The sequence below is a fragment of the Homo sapiens genome, chromosome 1 (assembly GCF_000001405.40).
Source record: "Homo sapiens chromosome 1, GRCh38.p14 Primary Assembly".
NCBI lineage: Eukaryota > Metazoa > Chordata > Mammalia > Primates > Hominidae > Homo > Homo sapiens.
In genome coordinates, this window is record NC_000001.11 from 44,872,014 (window position 1) to 44,891,015 (window position 19,002).

Here is a 19,002-nt window from a genome sequence, read left to right on the forward strand (position 1 = left end):
ACCATGCTCAACTAATTCTTGTATATGTATGTATTTTAAGGCAGGCTCTCACTCTGTTACCCAGGCTGCAGTGTAGTAGCACAATCTTGGCTCACTGCAGCCTTGACATACCAGACTCAGTCGGTCCTCCCATCTCAGCCTTCTGAGTAGCTGAGACTACTGATGTATGCCACCACTCCAGGCTAATTTTTGTAGTTTTTGTAGAGATGTGGTTTCGTCATGTTGCCCAGGCTGGTCTCAAACTCCTGGGCTCAAGTAATCTGCCCACCTCGACCTTCCAAAGTGCCGGGACTATGGATATGAGCCAATGTGGCTGGCCACTTCACTTTTTATGTATCTAGAATACCTCTGGCCAGGTGCAGTGGCTCATGCCTGTAATCCCAGCACTTTGGGAGGCTGAGGTGGGAGGACTGCTTGAGGCCAGGAGTTCAAGACCAGCCTGGGCAACACAGTAAAATCCCCATCTCTATAAAATTTTTTAAAAAAATTAGCTGGGCCTGGTGGTGTGCGCCTGTAGTCCTAGCTACCTGAGAAGCTGAGGCAGGAGGACTGTTGGAGCTCAGGAGTTTGAGGTTGTAGTGAGCTATGATCATGCCACTGTACTCCAGCCTGGGCAACAGAGGGAAACCCTGTCTTGAAAAAAAACAAAAAAACACTACCCCCAAAACCACTCCTTTCTCCAGCTCAGGTGGCTCTACTCATTTTCCAAGATTCAGCTCAAGGGTCATTTCCTTAAGCCTTTCCTGACCCTTTCCTCCCTTCTGACCTTACAGATCTCTACCATAGCACCTATCACTTCTTACTGCACATAGTATAAATTCCTTGAGGGAAGAGATTAAGACTTATGTCGTTTTGTTTCTTTCACTGCCTAGCACAATCTTAATCAGAGAGTGGGTCTGTTAGTATCTGATAAATCAGTGAAATGCTTGAGAGGGGTCTCTATTAGTGGTGTGCTGACGCTGGCTTGTTTTAGCTTGGGAGAGGCAATTATTAGCATCTCTTCTCAACTCAGCGTTAGGTGATATCATTGGCTATAGTGGAATAATTTACACCACAGAAATTAGCAAATGTTTCGAATTATGTCGCTTATTTTTTCCTTTGGAGGGCTGGTTGTCAACAATTTATCAGCATACCACTGGTAGCAGCGTACCACAAAACTCTGGATATTTTTGGCCAACTGATATTAGTAGTTTAAAGCAAATACTTCTGAAGATTTTGTTATGAAAATCAGCAGTCCCCTGCAACCCCTATTCCTCATTTCCCTCTTCCCAGAGGCAACTCTTTTAATTCTTTCTGCTGAGTAATTTGGTATTACTTCCATGCCTCTAGGTATTAACATAATTGTATTACTAGTTCTTTATTTTTCAGCTTTAGGCATTATCAATTGGCTTTCTACAGTGAAAAATGAGAATTTAGCTCTCCTTTCTCCCTTACCCCCATTTCCCTTTCCATCTTTCATCCTTTCAATAGAGTTATAGCATAACTTTGGCCAGTAGTCAGGTTTATTATGACTATGTAAATTCTATTTTGTAGCTGATCCATAGCAAACTATGGTCTTTTCATTTCTTATACAGGTTATGTATCCCTTATCTGAAATACTTGGGACCAGAAGTGTTTTATTTTTTATTTATTTATTTTTTTTTTTGAGACAGAGTCTTGCTCTGTCACCCAGGCTGGAGTGCAGTGGTGCGATCTCAGCTCACTGCAACCTCTGCCTCCTGGGTTCAAGCCATTCTCCTGCCTCAGCCTCCTGAGTAGCTGGGACTACAGGTGCACACCACCACACCTGGCTAATTTTTTTTTTTTTTGTATTTTTAGTAGAGATGGGGTTACACCATGTTGGCCAGGCTAATCTCGAACTCCTGACCTCAGGTGATGCACCTGCCTCAGCCTCCCAAAATGCTGGGATTACAGGCATGAGCCACTGTGCCGGGCCAGAAGTGTTTTAGATTTTGGATTTTTTAAAATTTTTTTGAATATTTGCATTATACTTACCGTTTCAGCATCCCTAACCCAAAAATCTGAACTCTCAAATGTTCCAGTGAGAATTTCCTTTGAGTGTCAAGTTGGTGCTCAAAAGTTTCGGATTTTGGAGCATTTGATTTTGGGTTTTTGGATTAGGGATATTCAACTTGTACAACTTCTTCATTTTCCCAGAGTTAATAACAGTCTTGTTTTTGTTAAATAGTGTTGTTTTTTCTATGTTATCCCCGATTCAACTTCAAACTTTTAGCCAGTTGCCTAAATCGACTTTCAAATGTTTGTATGTATCTGGTATTTTATCAGTTGCATCTTGCTGAATAAATCTTTCCTGGATTCTTTGGTTTTGTTCCAGTTTGGATTAACTAATCCCTTTATGCCCCATTTAGAGCTGTCATTCTTATCTCTGTTCACTGTTATCCCATGGATTCTTTTTGCCCTTTTTCTGAGTTGAATCTCTTGTTTCTGATCTTTCTCTGTTTGGTTTATTTTCCATTTTAGAGGAATAAATTTCCTAGTAAAGTTTTTGAGACTTTTGATATCTGAAAATGTTTTTATTCTATTGCCCTCTTGATTAGCACTTTGCCTGGGTATACAATTTTAGGTTAAAATTAACCTTCCTTCAGAATTTTGAAGGCATTTTTCCATTATCTTTGCCTCAAGTGGGTACAGGGGGAAACATACCCTTCCTCCACAGTGACTGAGTTCATGAGAAGGCAATTGGTAATAGTCACTCTATCTTTTATGAGACAGGATGAGCCAATGACTGAGCGCTTAATGGATGACTTCTCTCCAATCTGTGTCTCTGGCCCAATGAGGCTGTCAACTCCAACCTGTAAAAGGCAAAATATAAAACTCTGTCCACCCATCTCAACCAACTGCAAACCACCCTCCAGATCCCTCAAGCTGGGATCTAATGGGATCTTTCCATAGAGACACTTCAGCAAGAGGGACCATGATCAGTATTTCTCAGGGCCACAAGGTCATACAACACCTCTGAGACCAACTCAAACCTATTTGAAGCATGGGCCCTCCTCTCTTGCCAAGAAAACAAAATAAAACAACAGACACATATACACACTCATGCACTTGTGTATACAGATGTGCTCTCTTAAAGAGTGTGCTCAAATCAGAGTTAGAAGGGGGACAGATTGTGCCACTGCACTCCAGCCTGGGCAACAGAGTGAGACTCTGTCTCAAAAAAAAAGAAAAAGAAAATTGGGACTGACTCCTGAAGAAAACTTGGCTCAGGAATCTGTAGGACCCATACCAGATAAAACCTCAGGTGAGCCTCTACCTGGATTGGTTACAGATCCAAGGGAGTCCCAAGCCAGAGAGCTTATGAGAATCATAGGTAGTCCCACATTTACCCATGACTAGAGTCTTTCAGGCTGAGATTGAGAGCTCCTGTGTCTGAGTCCCAACACTATAATGGACCCTTCCTTACAAGGTCATTACTTGCCCAGGCAGTCTTGTTGAGTGAGATTTTATTCTCAGAACCCACTGTGATTTCCCTGGGGCTGATGAGGTTCAGGACTTAAAGGCCTCAATCCGGCTTCTCAAAAACAAGTCTCGATGCTCCCAAAGAACATCTCATGCCCGTCCTGGCCACACTAGCACTTACCAGGTGTTTGCTGACAATCTGGGCTGACGAATGGACTGGTGGTTCTTCTGGACAGAGAGCAGACAGCAATTTGGGCACCTTAAGGACAGAGATTTGGTCACTAAAGATCAGAAAACACCTTAGGTAGCTCTCCCTCTCCCTCTCCCTCTACCTCTCCCACTCCCCCTCCCCACGGTCTCCCTCTCCCTCTCTTTCCACGGTCTCCCTCTGATGCCGAGCCAAAGCTGGACTGTACTGCTGCCATCTCGGCTCACTGCAACCTCCCTGCCTGATTCTCCTGCCTCAGCCTGCCGACTGCCTGCAATTGCAGGCGCGCGCCGCCACGCCTGACTGGTTTTCGTATTTTTTTGGTGGAGACGGGTTTCGCTGTGTTGGCCGGGCTGGTCTCCAGCTCCTAACCGCGAGTGATCCGCCAGCCTCGGCCTCCCGAGGTGCCGGGATTGCAGACGGAGTCTGGTTCACTCAGTGCTCAATGGTGCCCAGGCTGGAGTGCAGTGGCGTGATCTCGGCTAGCTACAACCACCTCCCAGCCGCCTGCCTTGGCCTCCCAAAGAGCTGAGATTGCAGCCTCTGCCCGGCCGCCACACCGTCTGGGAAGTGAGGAGCGTCTCTGCCTGGCCGCCATCCCATCTAGGAGGTGAGGAGCACCTCTTCCCCGCTGCCATCCCATCTAGGAAGTGAGGAGCGTCTCTGCCCGGCCGCCCATAGTCTGGGATGTGGGGAGCGCCTCTGCCCCGCCGCCCCGTCTGGGATGTGAGGAGCGCCTCTGCCTGGCCGCGACCCTGTCTGGGAGGTGAGGAGCGTCTCTGCCCGGCCGCCCCGTCTGAGAAGTGAGGAGACCCTCTGCCTGGCAGCCGCCCCGTCTGAGAAGTGAGGAGCCCCTCCGTCCGGCAGCCACCCCGTCTGGGAAGTGAGGAGCGTCTCCGCCCGGCAGCCACCCCGTCCGGGAGGGAGGTGGGGGTCAGCCCCCCACCCGGCCAGCCGCCCCATCCGGGAGGTGAGGGGCGCTTCTGCCTGGCCGCCCCTACTGGGAAGTGAGGAGCCCCTCTGCCCGGCCACGACCCCCTCTGGGAGGTGTACCCAACAGCTCATTGAGAACGGGCCATGATGACAATGGCGGTTTTGTGGAATAGAAAGGCGGGAAAGGTGGGGAAAAGATTGAGAAATCGGATGGTTGCTGTGTCTGTGTAGAGAGAAGTAGACATGGGAGACTTTTCATTTTGTTCTGTACTAAGAAAAATTCTTCTGCCTTGGGATCCTGTTGATCTGCGACCTTACCCCCAACCCTGTGCTCTCTGAAACATGTGCTGTGTCCACTCAGGGTTAAATGGATTAAGGGCGGTGCAAGATGTGCTTTGTTAAACAGATGCTTGAAGGCAGCATGCTCGTTAAGAGTCATCACCACTCCCTGATCTTAAGTACCCAGGGACACAAACGCTGCGGAAGGCCACAGGGTCCTCTGCCTAGGAAAACCAGAGACCTTTGTTCACTTGTTTATCTGCTGACATTCCCTCCACTATTGTCCTATGACCCTGCCAAATCCCCCTCTGCGAGAAACACCCAAGAATGATCAATAAAAAAAAAAAAAAAAAAAAAAAAAAAAAACACCTTAGGTAGAACCCAGTGCTCAATCAGAGATACAGGGAGTTCTCAGCCATAGCTTCCTGTCTGAGTGAGGGGGAGCAGGAGGCTGCTGCATTCCCCCTAGGACCAAGATTATTTATGCAGCAGCTTCTAGATGGCCTTATTGTCAGTCTCTTAGCTTTGAATGCTCCTCCTTGAAAGTAATGCCATGTCCCTTGGCTGGGAGGCACTGAGACCAGTCTTTGAGATACCCACATACCACCTCTTGGGAAAGGAGGCCTGATCAGGTCAAGGAACACCCCGCATCCTGATCATAAGCATCCTGGGTTCCTGGTCACCTCCTGGACCACTGTGACCACGCATGAGGTGAGGATGAGATCCATTTTAGACAAATTCGAAATCAAGGACAGACCCTGAGAAGGCATCTATCCCCCAGCCAAAAGAAAACATGAAGGGGAAGTTCACACTATTCCCTCTCCAGTGTGAGAAACCTGGAAAGGTTAGAGGTATGGGGGGCTTTGGCTACCAGTCTATTAGGAAGGCACAGGTAGTGCGCCTGTCTATGATTCTCCAGCATAGACAGAATGCTGGTCAGAGCACTGTGCGTGGCAGCCACACTAGCTGACGGAGGCCTTGTCAGCACGGCTACACTGGAATGTGAAGGCTAATTCCAAGCCCCCAGCCCTAGGTTCTCTTCTTCCACACTCCACCCAAGGCCCTTCAGGCCCGTCTGCTGCATAGTCCCTGTTGGCACTTCAAAGGATACTTTTCCCAGCATGCTCACTCGAGAGCAGGGTCCCTCTTTCATGATGTGGACACAGCGGTGCACCTGTGATCTGGACAAGTCTTCCCACTCAGGTTATCCATGAACATCTTTCCAGACCAGCGTGAAAGATGCTAGTCATGGGTAAATGTGGGACTAGCTATGATTTCTCATAAGCTCTCTGGCTTGGGACTCCCTTGGATCTGTAACCAATACAGGTTGAGGCTCACCTGAGGTTTTATCTGGTGTGGGTCCTACAGATTCCTGAGCCAGGTTTTCTTCAGGAGTCAATCCCAATTTTCTTTTTCTTTTTTTTGAGACAGAGTCTCACTCTGTTGCCCAGGCTGGAGTGCAGTGGCACAATCTCAGCTTACTGCAACCTCCACCTATCAGGTTCAAGCAATTCTCCTGCCTCAGCCTCCTGAGAAGCTGGGATTACAGGTGCATGCCACCATGCTTGGCTAATTTTTGTATTTTTAGTAGAGACAGGGTTTCACCATGTTGGCCAGCCTGGTCTCGAACTCCTGACCTCAGGCGATCCACCCGTCTCAGCCTCCCAAAGTGCTGGGATTACAGGCGTGAGCCACTGTGCCCGGCCTCAATCCCAATTTTCAACAATTTCTTTTATATTATTCTGCGCTCCACTGCCACCCTGGTCTACACCTGCAATTATATTTTCACAGGGTTCTACCAGGAGCAATGTCAATAACTAATCTTTTCATTATCTCACCTCTGTTATCCTTGAATGCCACCCCAATGTAGTTCCCTCAATTATTTATCTTTTCCTATCCTCTTTTTTTTTTTTTAATACAGAGTCTCACTCTGTTGCTTAGGCTTAGGCTGGAGTGCGGTGGTGCAATCTCAGCTCACTGCAACCTCTGCATTCCAGGCTCAGGTGATCCTCCCACCTCAGCCTTCCAAGTAACTGGGACTACAGCCACATGCCACCATACCTGGCTAATTTTTGTAGTATTTTTGTAGAGACAGGATTTTGCCATGTTGCCCAGGCTGGTCTCGAACTCCTGGACTCAAGCGATCCACCTGCCTCGGCCTCCCAAATTGCTAGGATTATAGGCGTAAGACACCGTGCCCGGACTCTTTTCTTATTCTCATCTAAACCCTTTACTGCTCTGCATTTCCTTTTCCTAGTCTTATTATTCCTCCCTCCCAAAACCTTCCTCCTGGGCCTACTATACAATACAGAGTTCCTTTATACCTTCAGCCTCTTTACTGTCCCCCTCTCCACCCCCTGCCTTCATTAAGGCCTGGCTTATCTTTGAGGACACTGCTTCTCCTTCAGTGGAAGCTATTTGTTCCCCATATCTCACAAACTTCAAGGTTAAAAGGAGGGGCTAGCAAGAGACTCCTCATTAATGCTGTTTGCAGACAATTCTCTCTCAAAGTCATTCCTTTCCTGAGGCTTTGCCATCTGGCCACTCTATACTCTGCTCCTTCACCTTCTCAGGGAAGCCTCCTCTGTATGCCTATGTTTACTTCATCAGAGTAATGATTACAGAGTATTTACCTGCTTATTATGAAGTAAGTACTGCAGATATCCCCATGCTGAACAGAACAGGAGGAACCTGCTGACCCAAAGGCCAGAAGTTAGCCTTCCTGAAGATCTTAGCCTTTCCCTGGAGCCATAGAGGCCCTGACTATGGACCAGGCCCCCTGCTTCCCTTTTTGCTGCACCTGAGTACCCTAGTAGTCTCCCTTGACGTGCCAGGTCTTGCTCAACCTTGGGAATGACAGGGATTCTTAACAAGTTACTATGTACCTAATGAAGAAACAGACAAGTGGCTCAGTCTGTTTCTAGGACAAGAGCCCCATGATTTTCTAACTCATGCTCTCACCTGTCTGTTTGCTTCCATGTAGAGTCCCAGTGTGCTCACTCGAGAGCAGAGCCCCTCTTTCATGATGTGGACATAGCAGCGCACCTGTGATCTGGACAAGTCTTCCCACCTGTCTCCTCGACAGGCATTCCAGCAGGCATCATAGGGAGCCAGGTTCAGTGTATTGGCTTCTTTTATAAAACTGTAGATATCTTCAGAACAAACACCCAACCAAGGAAATAAATGAGAGAGAGATAACAGAACAGATACAGACTCAGTCAAGTTGTTTTTTTGTTTATTTAAGAGACGAGGTCTTGCTATGTTGCCTAGGCTGGTCTCAAACTCCCAGACTCAAGGGATCCTCCCACCTCAGCTTCCTGAGCAGCTGGGACTACAGGTGTGCACCACCATGCTTGGCTCTAAGTTTTAAAAGAGATTACAGCTCACACTTCTTCCTTTGAAACTCACCCACAAAACATGAACCCTGAGGAAATCCCACTAAAATCTGTAAGAGAAAGTCAAACTAAAAGAGGAAATGTACTTCCCTAAAATATCATATGATATAAAAATGCTTAATACGAGGTCCTAAAAGCATGTGACCGGTAATCAAGACCACTAGGGAAAATAAAACAGATGACCCTTGTAAATCATGAAATAACACAAGCCAGCATCCAGGCTTTAGTGGCCAGCCAGGTTGACTTTGTGCTGCTAGTCTCTATTACCATATCTGGTAGCTGTGCTATGACAGAAAGTACAGAACTTGGAGCCCAGAGTACCAGGGCTCTAGTTTTTCAGCTCTTACAACGATCCTTTGAGATCTTTTACTTTCTCATAAAAAAACTGGGGCTCAGAGGACTGAGTAACCTGCCTCAAGACACAATGCTGGCCGGGCACGGTGGCTCATGCCTGTAATCCCAGCACTTTGGGAGGCCGAGGCGGGTGGATCATGAGGTCAGGAGATCGATACCATCCTGGCTAACACAGAGAAACCCCGTCTCTACTAAAAATACAAAAATTAGCCGGGCGTGGTGGCGTGTGCCTGTAGTCCTAGCTGCTGGGGAGGCTGAGGCAGGAGAATGGCGTGAACCCGGGAGGCGGAGCTTGCAGTGAGCCGAGATTGCGCCACTGCCCTCCAGCCTGGGCGACAGAGGGAGACTCCGTCTCAAAAAAATAAAAAAAAAAAAAGACACAATGCTAGTAAGAGGCAGTCAGATTTCAAATCCAGAACTGTCTGATGCCCAGTTCTACAGTCCTAATCATCATGCTGTACTGTCAGTGTATTCATTTGATAAATACTTTTTCAGAATATCTACTATGAGTCCACGACTGGGCCGGGGATTAGGGATATGACAGCAAACAAGACAGATCCGATCTTCAGATCCTGGCACGGAGACACCTGGGTTGGCCTGTGGTTGGACTGCAATTGTACATTCCTTCACTTTCCTTCCCTTGATAAAAGAGGTTGAGTTTAATCAGGAACGGGGCTGCCTAGAGCCTAGAGAACAGGGGAACTAAGAAGTGGCAGGTGGAGTTTAAAGGCAAAATGGTCTAGTGAGGAACACAGCCAAACCAGAGCTATGAATCAGAGAATGGGGCTGGAGGCATGATTAGCCTGTTGCCGAGAGCACAGTGGCAGAATCTGCCTGAGCAAGCTTACCCAGAGCTCAGTGGGTTGGCAAGCCTGTCTTGCCTCGTAGGCTAGAAATAGTCTGCTGCCTTGAGTCAGGCATCTTGGGCTGGGCTAAGCTGCCCAACCACTCTTTCCAAAGGTGCTGCTACCCTTGCCCCTCTTACTGAACCAACCCAAGAACTGACCTAAGGACTTCAGCTCCTTTTTCTTTAGATCCTCCTCTTTTTCTTCTTGTCCCTGTTGTGAGGAAGCTGAGGAAAACTGTTTTCTCACTAAATATGGAATCAGTTCACTCCGGATAGAAGTTATTGACCTAGAAAGAAAGAATGGCCAAATATGAGAAACCTGACTGTCTGGAACATACCCGGATCAAAAGCTCTGTGCATACAAGGAAAAGCCAAATCCTTTCCTGTCATGGCACCTTGGGACTGTCAGAGATCAAATGTGGCATTGACTTGGCAGTTCGGAGAAGCAGAGTGCTTCCTGGTGGGTACTGAGACAGGATGTTGGGTCTAAGTGATCAGGAATCTGTACTAGGGGAAGAAGGGACCTGATCTTTAGTTCAGTGTGTGTTTTTTATTTATGTTTTTATTTATACTTAGCAATGGAAAGCAGAGAGATGAGAAACTAGCACATGTTTTTCAGTGTTCTCTCACACTGTGACCTTATTAGAATTTTATATTGCTAATTAATTTATGTAGCATTTACCAAGCATATGCGAGTTACTGTGCTAGGCCTTGGAAATACATCATTTCTGACTTCAAGGAATTCATAATCCAATGGACAGTAGCCTGTATGAGTTTAAGAGGAAAAGCAGAAGGTTAAGCTAATCAGGTAGGCAAGGGGGCCAGATCACGAAAGCTTTTTGTGGTGAAACCACCTTTGCAAAAATAACAGTGACAAAATTATGACAGTGAAAGAAATCTGACCTAATCAACTCCATCTTGCTGTTAACCTCCAAATTGCTCTTGCTCATTCCTGGACATAGGCTGAGCTAACTTTGGGAGAAAACTTTTTTTTTTTTTTTTCTGAGACAGGGTCTCACTCTGTCTGTTGCCCAGGCTGGAGTACAGTGGTGCGATCTCAGCTCACTGCAACCTTTGCCTCCCAGGTTCAAGTGATTCTCCCACCTCAGCCTCCTGAGTGGCTGGAAAGCTGGGATTACAGGTGTGAGAGCCACATGCCTGGCTAATTTTTTTTTTTTTTTTGAGACAGTCTTGCTCTATCGCCCAGGCTGGAGTGCAGTGGCATGATCTCAGCTCACTGCAACCTCTGCCTCCTGGGTTCAAGTGATTCTTGTGCTCCAGCCTCCCAAGTAGCTGGGACTACAGGCACATGCCACAATGCCTGGCTGTTTTTGTATTTTTTGGTAGGGATGGGGTTTTGCCATGTTGGCCAAGCTGGTCTCAAACTCCTGGCCTCAAGTGATCCGCCTGCTGCAGCCTCTTAAAGTGCTGGGATTACAGGCATGAGCCACTGTGCCTGACTTTTTTTTCTTTTTCTTTTTTTTTTTTTTTTTTTGAGATGGAGTCTCGCTCTGTGGCCCAGGCTGGAGTGTAGCGGTGCGATCTTGGCTTATCGCAACCTCCACCTCCCAGTTCAAGTGATTCTCCTGCCTCAGCCACCCAAGTAGCTGGGATTACAGGCGCCGGCCACCATGCCTGGCTAATTTTTGTATTTTGAGTAGAGATGGTGTCTCGTCATGTTGACCATCCTGAGGTCAGGAGTCTTGAACTCCTGACCTCAGGTGATCCGCTTGCTCCGGCCTCTCAACATGCTAGGATTACAGGTGTGAGCCACCATGCCTAGCCAGAAATTTATTACAGTTTATAGTTTAAATGATAATAGCCCTTCTCAAAATGAAACTGCCTTTATAAAACTAATAAAAGCGTACAAATTTAGGATTACAAGAGGGGCCTGAATTCTCATGATTACCAATCATTTTTCCAAAGGTCACAAGATTTGCAACTTCCCCAGTTACTCCTGTAAGTAACATCACTATTGTTGAACCTAAGATTGGCTTTTTAAGATGTCTTTTCTGACTTTTGCATTTCTGATGACTGGATGACTCCACTGGGACCAGTGACCCCTCTGTGGCCCCCATCCAAAACTGGGCTCAGCAGAGGACTGGTTTCCACACCCCTATGATTGCATCCCCAACCAATCAGCAGCACTCATTCCCTAGACCCCTGCCCACCAAACCATCCTTGAAAAACCCTAGCCTCAGAATTCTGGGGGAGGCTGATTTGAGTAATAATAAAATTCTGGTTTCCCGTTTAGCTGCCTCTATGTGTATTAAACTCTTTATTGCAATTCTCCCATCTTGATAAATCGTCTCTATCTCGGCAGCAGGTAAGATGAACCCACTGAGGAGTTACAGTAGCAGTCTAGAAAGTCTGGACTGAGAAGCCAGTGGTAATTTTTCCTTGTTAGACGGGGTCTTGCTCTGCTGCCCAGGCTGGAGTGCAGTGGTGCAATCACAACTCACTGCAGTCTTGACTACCTGGGCTCAAGTGATCCTCCTGCCTTGGCCTCCCAAGTAGCTGGGACCACAGGCATGTGCCACCATGCCCAGCTAATTTTTTTATTATTTGTAGAGGCAAAGTCTCACTATGTTGCCCAGGCTGGTCTTGAACTCCTGGACTCAAGCAGTCCTCCCACCTCAGCCTCCCAAAGTGCCGGGATTACAGGTGTGAGCCACCGCACCTGGCTGCCAGTGGTAGTTTTTAAGCAAGAAAGTGACATGAACAGTTTTATCTCTTATTAAGGTAATTCTGGTAGCAATGTGGAAGAAAGCCTGGAATAAGGAAACTGAAGAAAGGGAGACCAGTTACAATATTCTGAGAGATGAGATAATGAGGCCTGAGAGAGGGGTGAAAGTATGGGCAGCTCTATAAACCTGACTTGCTGCATACTTCCCACCACCTCTCCCAGCCCCCATTCAAAGCTCTGCATGCTGACACAAAACCAAACAGATGGAGTGTAGGTAGAAAGGAAGGCAAGACAGAGGCAGAGGCTGAGGAGGGTAAGGAAAACTATGAACCCTGGAGCTACACAGTTCATAGTTTCTGCAATTTTTAAAGAATCAATTTTGAAAAATTCTGTGTTAAGCTGTGAGCTCTTGTATTGAATTTCAATGTGATTTTTCTCCTGATCCTTTGATGAAGATTTAAAAATTTCCATGTGAATACAAAGAATGAAGCAACACTTACTCTTAGCTCTTTTTCTCCCCTTTTAATGCTTCAAACCAGTGTAGGCAGCAAATGTTCCTCCTCCATTGGAAAACAAGTCAGTTCCCTTTGAAGAAGTGACAAAGCACGGACAGCTAGGGGATTTCAGGGCCATGATATTTACATTACAGACCAAAAAGAACTGTCACTGCAAGAGGCAAGCAGACGAGCCTTGGCACATGGCCCCATCAGGCAGAACCTTCGAGAGGATCCATGATTTGAAGAGAGGCTATGAAACAGCCCTGCCAGGTCCCACCCACCTCTGCTGGAGCTCAACATTAGGTCAATCCCCATGATGCAGTTGACTTAGAAACATAATGAAGGAAACAATTACTCTTCCTGCTTCCTAGTTAAAGTGCAGGCAGCTCAGAGCTGTGCCAAGAAATGTTACAAAGCTACAGTGAACCATTGTGAACATCCTGGGCCTAGGCCACTTGCTGGATACAGTGCCCTGGTCAACCTTACTTTCTCCTTTCCCTCTTATACACAGCCTTCCTAGAAACACCTGTCTTATCTCATGAAATCATAAGCTCTTCTCAAGCAATCACAAAGGAGAACAATAGACTTGACTACTAGCAAACAATCCCACCAAATAAAAAGACAAAATAATTGCTATGAATAGGGCAAAGAATATTCTTAATAAACAGATATGTGTTAAAAAAACATATAAAATATTTTCAAAGAAGTAAAAAACTAAAATAAGATGCAATTTCTCCTCCAACTAAATTAACTGATTCAAAACAATTTTCATTACTGATAAGAGTGCTTTGAGAACCGTTACTGTCACATAATGGGAGTCGGAGTATAAACTGATAAAATCTCTGAAAAATAATTGGCAACATTATAGCAAAAGACTTGAAGATATTCATATAATTTCACCCTGTAATTCCATTTCTATAAGTCTATCCTAAGGAAAATATATTACTCAGTAAATATTTGCTGAATAGATGAAATCATCAGATTATAAACAAGAATCTTTCAAAAAAAGGTATTCCCGTTATTTATAAAAATGGAGAACAATAAAATATTCAACAATGATAGATCAAAATACCTCTATAACAGAATGTCATATAGGCAAAACTGTGACTGTAAAGAATTTTTTTTTTTTTTAGACGCAGTCTCGCTTGGAGTGCAATGGCACGATCCTGGCTCACTGCAACCTCCGCCTCCCAGGTTCAAGTGATTCTCCTGCCTCAGCCTTTTGAGTAGCTAGGATTACAGGTGCCTGACACCACGCTTGGCTAATTTTTTTTTTTTTTTTTGTATTTTTAGTAGAGATGGGGTTTCACCATGTTGGTCAGGCTGGTCTTGAACTCCTGACCTCGTGATCCGCCCACCTCAGCCTCCCAAAGTGCTGGGATTACAGGCGTAAGCTACCGTGCCTGGCCAAGAATTCTTTAATGATAGAATAAAATGCTTATAACACTCAATGAAAAAAGCAAATTTTTGTTTTTTTAGATAGAGTCTCGCTGGAATGCAGTGGCACGGTCTCGGTTCACTGCAACCTCCGCCTCCTGGGTTCAAGCGATTCTCCTGCCTCAAGCTCCCGAGTAGCTGGGATTACAGGCACCTGCCACCATGTTGGGCTAATTTTTTGTATTTTTAGTAGAGACGGGGTTTCAACATGTTGGCCAGGCTGGTCTCGAACTCCTGACCTCATGATCTGACCTGCCTCAGCCTCCCAAAGTGCTGGGATTACAGGCGTTAGCCACTGTGCCCGACCCCGATTATTTTTAAAGTGTGATTTCAAGCATGTATTCTTACTATATATATGAAAATAAAACAATGGAAACAAATACACTAAAATGTTCACAATAGTTATCTCACAGTAGTGGAATTATGAATGTTAAAGCAAACTAAATATGGCCTGAGAAGGACTTCATACTTCTATATTTGAGTCCTTGTGGACAAACTGCATCCTAACTTAATAGGTAGATGAGACTGAAAACCTAACTTAGGAGTATGTGCCTGTACTAATAGCTGAGAATTGGCCAATCCCAGCAGCCATAATTCAACTACTCATACACTGCTGAGTGTTCAAACCGTGTTCAAATAAGGCAAATGCCGAGCTGTAACCAATCCAGTTGTTTTTGTACCTCACTTCTGATTTCTGTACGTCACTTCCTTTTTTTGTCTAAAAATTGTCAAATGCCTCTGACCATGAGGCATCCTTGGAGTCTTTCTGAATTTGCTGTGATTCTGGGGGCTTCCTAATTCATGAATCATTAATTGTTCAATTAAACTCCTTTAAACTTAATTCAGCTTTTCTTTCTACAGATGGTGTCAGAAGTGGGATCTGAAGTAGAGCTTTAACAACCCCAGGAGCGCTGAGTGAACAAGCAAGGTACCTGCAAGGACCCACTTATGTCCATTGATCTCTCAGAGTGACTGGGGATTGTGGGTAAGCTCTCTCTCAGATTTCAGAGCTCCAAGGATTTGTGTTTTGAGCTGTCCAAGTTTCTTTGAGCAAATTTCTGATCCAAACTAGGTTTGGAAGTCACAAGAGAAACTTGAGTGGGTCCAGGATTGGACTTGATCCAGTAATTAGCTGGCTTGGATCCAGCTAATTACTTGGCTTCTTACATCTGACTGGGTCAGAAAGAAACTGGTTGTAAATGGTAATACTGTAGGGGTTGTAAAATTTGGCTCTTGAAAATTCACAGGGATGTTTGTGTTCTACCCCTTTGTTTCATTTTTCTTGTGTGCTTAGGTAGGAAAAATCATTGGCTAAATTCATCAAGGGAACCTGAGAGCAAAGCAAATATTTTAGGTAAAAATGGGATCCTTCATTTTTGGAAAACTGAATTCCTTCCAGCTTATACATTAGCTGGTAAGCAGTGAAGTCTTACAGAAATGGCGAAATCTTACTAAAGATAACTTACAGTAGAACGTTCCGAATGAACAATGCACTGAAGTGCATTGAGACTCATCTAGGGATGCTTACTGATATGCAGACGCTTCTAAAAAGATTTCAATATTTTTATTTAAAGACTTTATGAAGGCCGGGCGCGATGGCTCACATCTGTAATCCCAGCACTTTGGGAGGCCAAGGCGGGTGGTCAACATGGTGAAACACCATCTCTATTAAAAGTACAAAAATTAGCCAGCCATGGTGGCGCAGGCCTGTAATCCTGGCTACTCGGGGGGCTGAGGCATGCCTGAACTCGGGAGGCAGAGGTTGCAGTGAGCTGAGATGGCATTACTGCATTCCAGCCTGGGCGACAGAGCCAGACTCTGTCTCCCCCCAAAAAAAAAGACTTTATGAAAGGCACCTAAATGACTAATTGATTAAAAAATTAGATTTACTAATCTTTTAGCTTAGTTACTATCTGACCCAAAAGAAACAGTCTGCAGCACCAATTGGCTGACTTTGGATACGTAATGGGGATACATTTTACCTGAGTAAAGGATGGGATTGGGTGAGAGGCCCTTCCCTCAATAAAGTCCCTCTTGGTTAAAAATGGATACAGATGACAGGGCCCAACTGGGGGCAAGTTTGGGCCTTGCCAGTTCAATATTGGGTGCTAAGCATCCATATGGTGGCTAATGTCTATGTTTTGTCACATGTATTTTGCTACGTCCAGAATGGAAAATATTAGAATTCAGGTCCCCCATGCAGCCGTTTGGGCGGCAACTTACAAAATTTAGAGGATTTTGCCTGTGGTTCCATGATTTTCCTTTGTGATGCAGCTTGGCCCCAGGAGCGATGGTGTGGCAAGCAGGGTCGCTAGGGCCGCTCAGGGAAGGGGAACCCAGAAACGGGACATGCCGGCAAAGGGGTAAAAATTTCTTGCCAGTCAGACTTATGGCTTCTCAATCTCTCTCTCTCTCTCTCTCTCTCTCTCTGTGCAAATTGGCTGAATGAATGGTAAAAATCACTGTTTATCTCCTCTGTAAAGTTTTGATTAATGAGAAAAAATTCTGAGGCTCATATTAAGTTGTAACGAATCTAATGTATTTTGTGCTATGAATTTGTCTGTGTTGTTCTGTCATAAAGAAGGGTACCTTAGGATAGAACAGGGGCTTAGGACCCCATAAACTGCTCAAGACGGCCCAGCAAGCTGGTAATAAATTTTACTGCAGGTCCTTGAAACAAACAAAAAAACTGGGTGAGGTCTCCATCTGGTTTTATGTCCTTGGCAACTTGACCTTGTAACCATGTGGCCATAATGTCTCTCGGTCTCTTCCTTCCAGGGAACAGGAATTCTGGGATTCATGTCATAGCTAGCTCTAAAAATTATCTTGAGTAGTTAAAAGCCTTTGCAAGCACAAAATTAACTATTTTAGATTCCTTCTGGGAACAGTGGGAAGAGCAATGGAAACCACCAGTGCTGTAGCTCAGCAGCTAAGGCTTTGACTTTTCACAGTGATGCCCTGGGTTCAATTCCTGGCTTAGGGAATGAGTCCTTTCTGGTTTGATATCTGTGTGACCTTTACTGTTAGTTGATTATCTTTCCCTCCATGAACCATCTTGAATTTTCCTTTCCCTAAGCACCTGGGAAGTTACCTTTGGTTAAGTTCAAAAGCCAGAAATATTGTCAGTGTGGCTAGAGTCGGGTAATAAGAAATTTAAAAGTGCTTTTTAAAAGAGTCCTATGGCTAGGAGTGGTGGCTCACGCCTGTAATCCCAGCACTGTGGGAGGCTGAAGCGGGTGGATCACTTGAGGTCAGGAGTTCAAGACCAGCCTGGTGAACATGGTGAAATGGCATCTCTACTAAAAATACAAAACACCGGCCGGGTGTGGTGGCCTGTGCCTGTAATCCCTGCTACTCAGGAAGCTGAGGCAGGAGAATTGCTGGAACCTGGGAGGTGGAGGTTGCAGTGAGCTGAGATTATGCCACTGTACTCCAGCCTGGGTGACAGAGCGAGGATCCATCTTAAAAAAAAAAAAATTAAGCTGACTTTTAACCATAGTGCTTTTATTTTTATTTACTTTGTTTTTTATCTTTTTTTTTGAAAAGGAGTCTTGCTTTGTTCCAGCGATTCTCAGCCTCCTGAGTAGCTAGGATTACAGGCACACGCCACCACACCTGGATAATTTTTATATTTTTAGTAGAGATGGGGTTTCACCATGTTGCCCAGGCTGGTCTCAAATTCCTGACCTCCAGTGATCCACCTGCCTTGGCCTCCCAAAGTGCTGGGATTACAGGTGTGAGCCACTGCATCTGGCCAGTCAGCTTAATTAAAAGTGGATATTCAAGCTCTAATAGACTGGGACTCCTTGTGAAAAACAGAGGAGATGTCACAGACCCTGTTCTGGGAAAAAACTCTGTTTTCCTCATAAAACCCCAGGAATGGGTGGTGGATAGATTCCTCTGAAAATCTAAGGCTAAATATACTTTTGACAATGGCTAATGGCAGTTATCAGGGAATACGTGGCTCTTTGCATGTTTACATCAGAGAAGCATGCTCTTGGCCACCTAGAAGTTATGGAAATGTTCCCACTCCTCACTGAGAGATAAGACTCTCATGGGAGATGGGCTAATTCCCTCTTTTTGGGATCCAGGATCTGATATAAAAACGGGACTCTTGATTTTGGGGGTCTGTTTTTGTCTTCCAGCTGTGCCTGCTTATTAGGCCCCAGAAACTGCATGTTTTCCTAGACCTGTTTCTTGAAGGGCTCTACCGTGAGGCCAGTAATCCAATTAAGAAACTGGCAAATGAAAAATCTTACAACTACTGGATCTTCTTCTGTCTGTCTGTGTAGTTTATACATATGTTATGTGTGTGATGCTTATGTAAAAGCTCTAATTAATTGGCATAAAGAAAAATAAGCACTTAAATAAAATATTTTGAAAAAAATAAAAACTGTAATGCCTTTTAGTTCACGTAACTTTAGTAATCTTTGGGAAATAAAAAATGTTAAAGATTATTGGTAAAATAAAGACATTTGGTCTAAATTAGGCAGGTCAGATATTAGGTTTGCTAAATGCCTTAAGGTCATAAACTGCTTTGACTTTCGAAAATTCCTTCCAAAGCATATATGTTTTTTTTCCCCAAGGTATAGGCTCTGGGTCTGGGGGGTTGCAGTGTGGAGATCTACCTGTCTTGCACCCACCCAAGACCACGACTCTGTCTATAAGTTGCCCTAATAAATCATCCAAAACTGTCAAACTAGATTTGTCTGCCTTCTTCTTTGGTTTCTCAGCTCCTTCTGCATTTGGGGGTTGCTTTGTGATAAATGGCCCTTTCACAAAACAGCCTGACTTCTTCTTCCACTCCTCACATATAATCAATCACCAAGCACTGCTGATTCTATCCCCTAAATCTCTGTCAAGACTTTCAACTTCTCTTCATCTTTACTGCCACTGCCTGGTCCAGACTACTGTCATCATTTGCCTGGATTCCTGTACCTGCT

At 45.2% G+C, this 19,002-nt stretch overlaps 1 protein-coding gene across 6 annotated transcripts in view, besides 4 other annotated features; it reads right to left on the reverse strand.

Annotated features, from left to right (window-relative positions):
• Nucleotides 1–19,002, reverse strand: part of EIF2B3 (eukaryotic translation initiation factor 2B subunit gamma) — a 136,074-nt gene that overhangs the window by 21,492 nt on the left and 95,580 nt on the right. For 5 of the 6 annotated variants that reach the window (XM_047433500.1, XM_047433499.1, NM_001261418.2 and 2 more), the window contains 4 exons: nucleotides 9,599–9,726; nucleotides 7,805–7,995; nucleotides 3,605–3,682; nucleotides 2,665–2,813 (listed from right to left, as the gene is read on the reverse strand). In XM_047433500.1, the coding sequence (XP_047289456.1) occupies nucleotides 2,665–2,813; nucleotides 3,605–3,682; nucleotides 7,805–7,995; nucleotides 9,599–9,726 (546 nt within the window). Of the gene's footprint in view, nucleotides 1–2,513; nucleotides 2,814–3,604; nucleotides 3,683–7,804; nucleotides 7,996–9,598; nucleotides 9,727–19,002 lie in introns of those variants that run through there. The other variant, NM_001166588.3, reaches the window with a different exon arrangement.
• Nucleotides 3,882–4,553: an enhancer, noted in NCBI's record as "H3K27ac hESC enhancer chr1:45341567-45342238 (GRCh37/hg19 assembly coordinates)". NCBI's record gives its function as "activates a minimal SCP1, AML or CMV promoter by ChIP-STARR-seq in naive H9 embryonic stem cells {active_cell/tissue: H9 hESC(naive)}" and the evidence as "EXISTENCE:reporter gene assay evidence [ECO:0000049][PMID:30033119]".
• Nucleotides 4,554–5,225: an enhancer, noted in NCBI's record as "NANOG-H3K27ac hESC enhancer chr1:45342239-45342910 (GRCh37/hg19 assembly coordinates)". NCBI's record gives its function as "activates a minimal SCP1, AML or CMV promoter by ChIP-STARR-seq in naive H9 embryonic stem cells {active_cell/tissue: H9 hESC(naive)}" and the evidence as "EXISTENCE:reporter gene assay evidence [ECO:0000049][PMID:30033119]".
• Nucleotides 5,226–5,897: an enhancer, noted in NCBI's record as "NANOG-H3K27ac hESC enhancer chr1:45342911-45343582 (GRCh37/hg19 assembly coordinates)". NCBI's record gives its function as "activates a minimal SCP1, AML or CMV promoter by ChIP-STARR-seq in primed H9 embryonic stem cells {active_cell/tissue: H9 hESC(primed)}" and the evidence as "EXISTENCE:reporter gene assay evidence [ECO:0000049][PMID:30033119]".
• Nucleotides 18,131–18,331: a silencer, noted in NCBI's record as "peak197 fragment used in MPRA reporter construct". NCBI's record gives its function as "represses an SCP1 promoter by STARR-seq MPRAs in K562 erythroleukemia cells {active_cell/tissue: K562}" and the evidence as "EXISTENCE:reporter gene assay evidence [ECO:0000049][PMID:32103011]".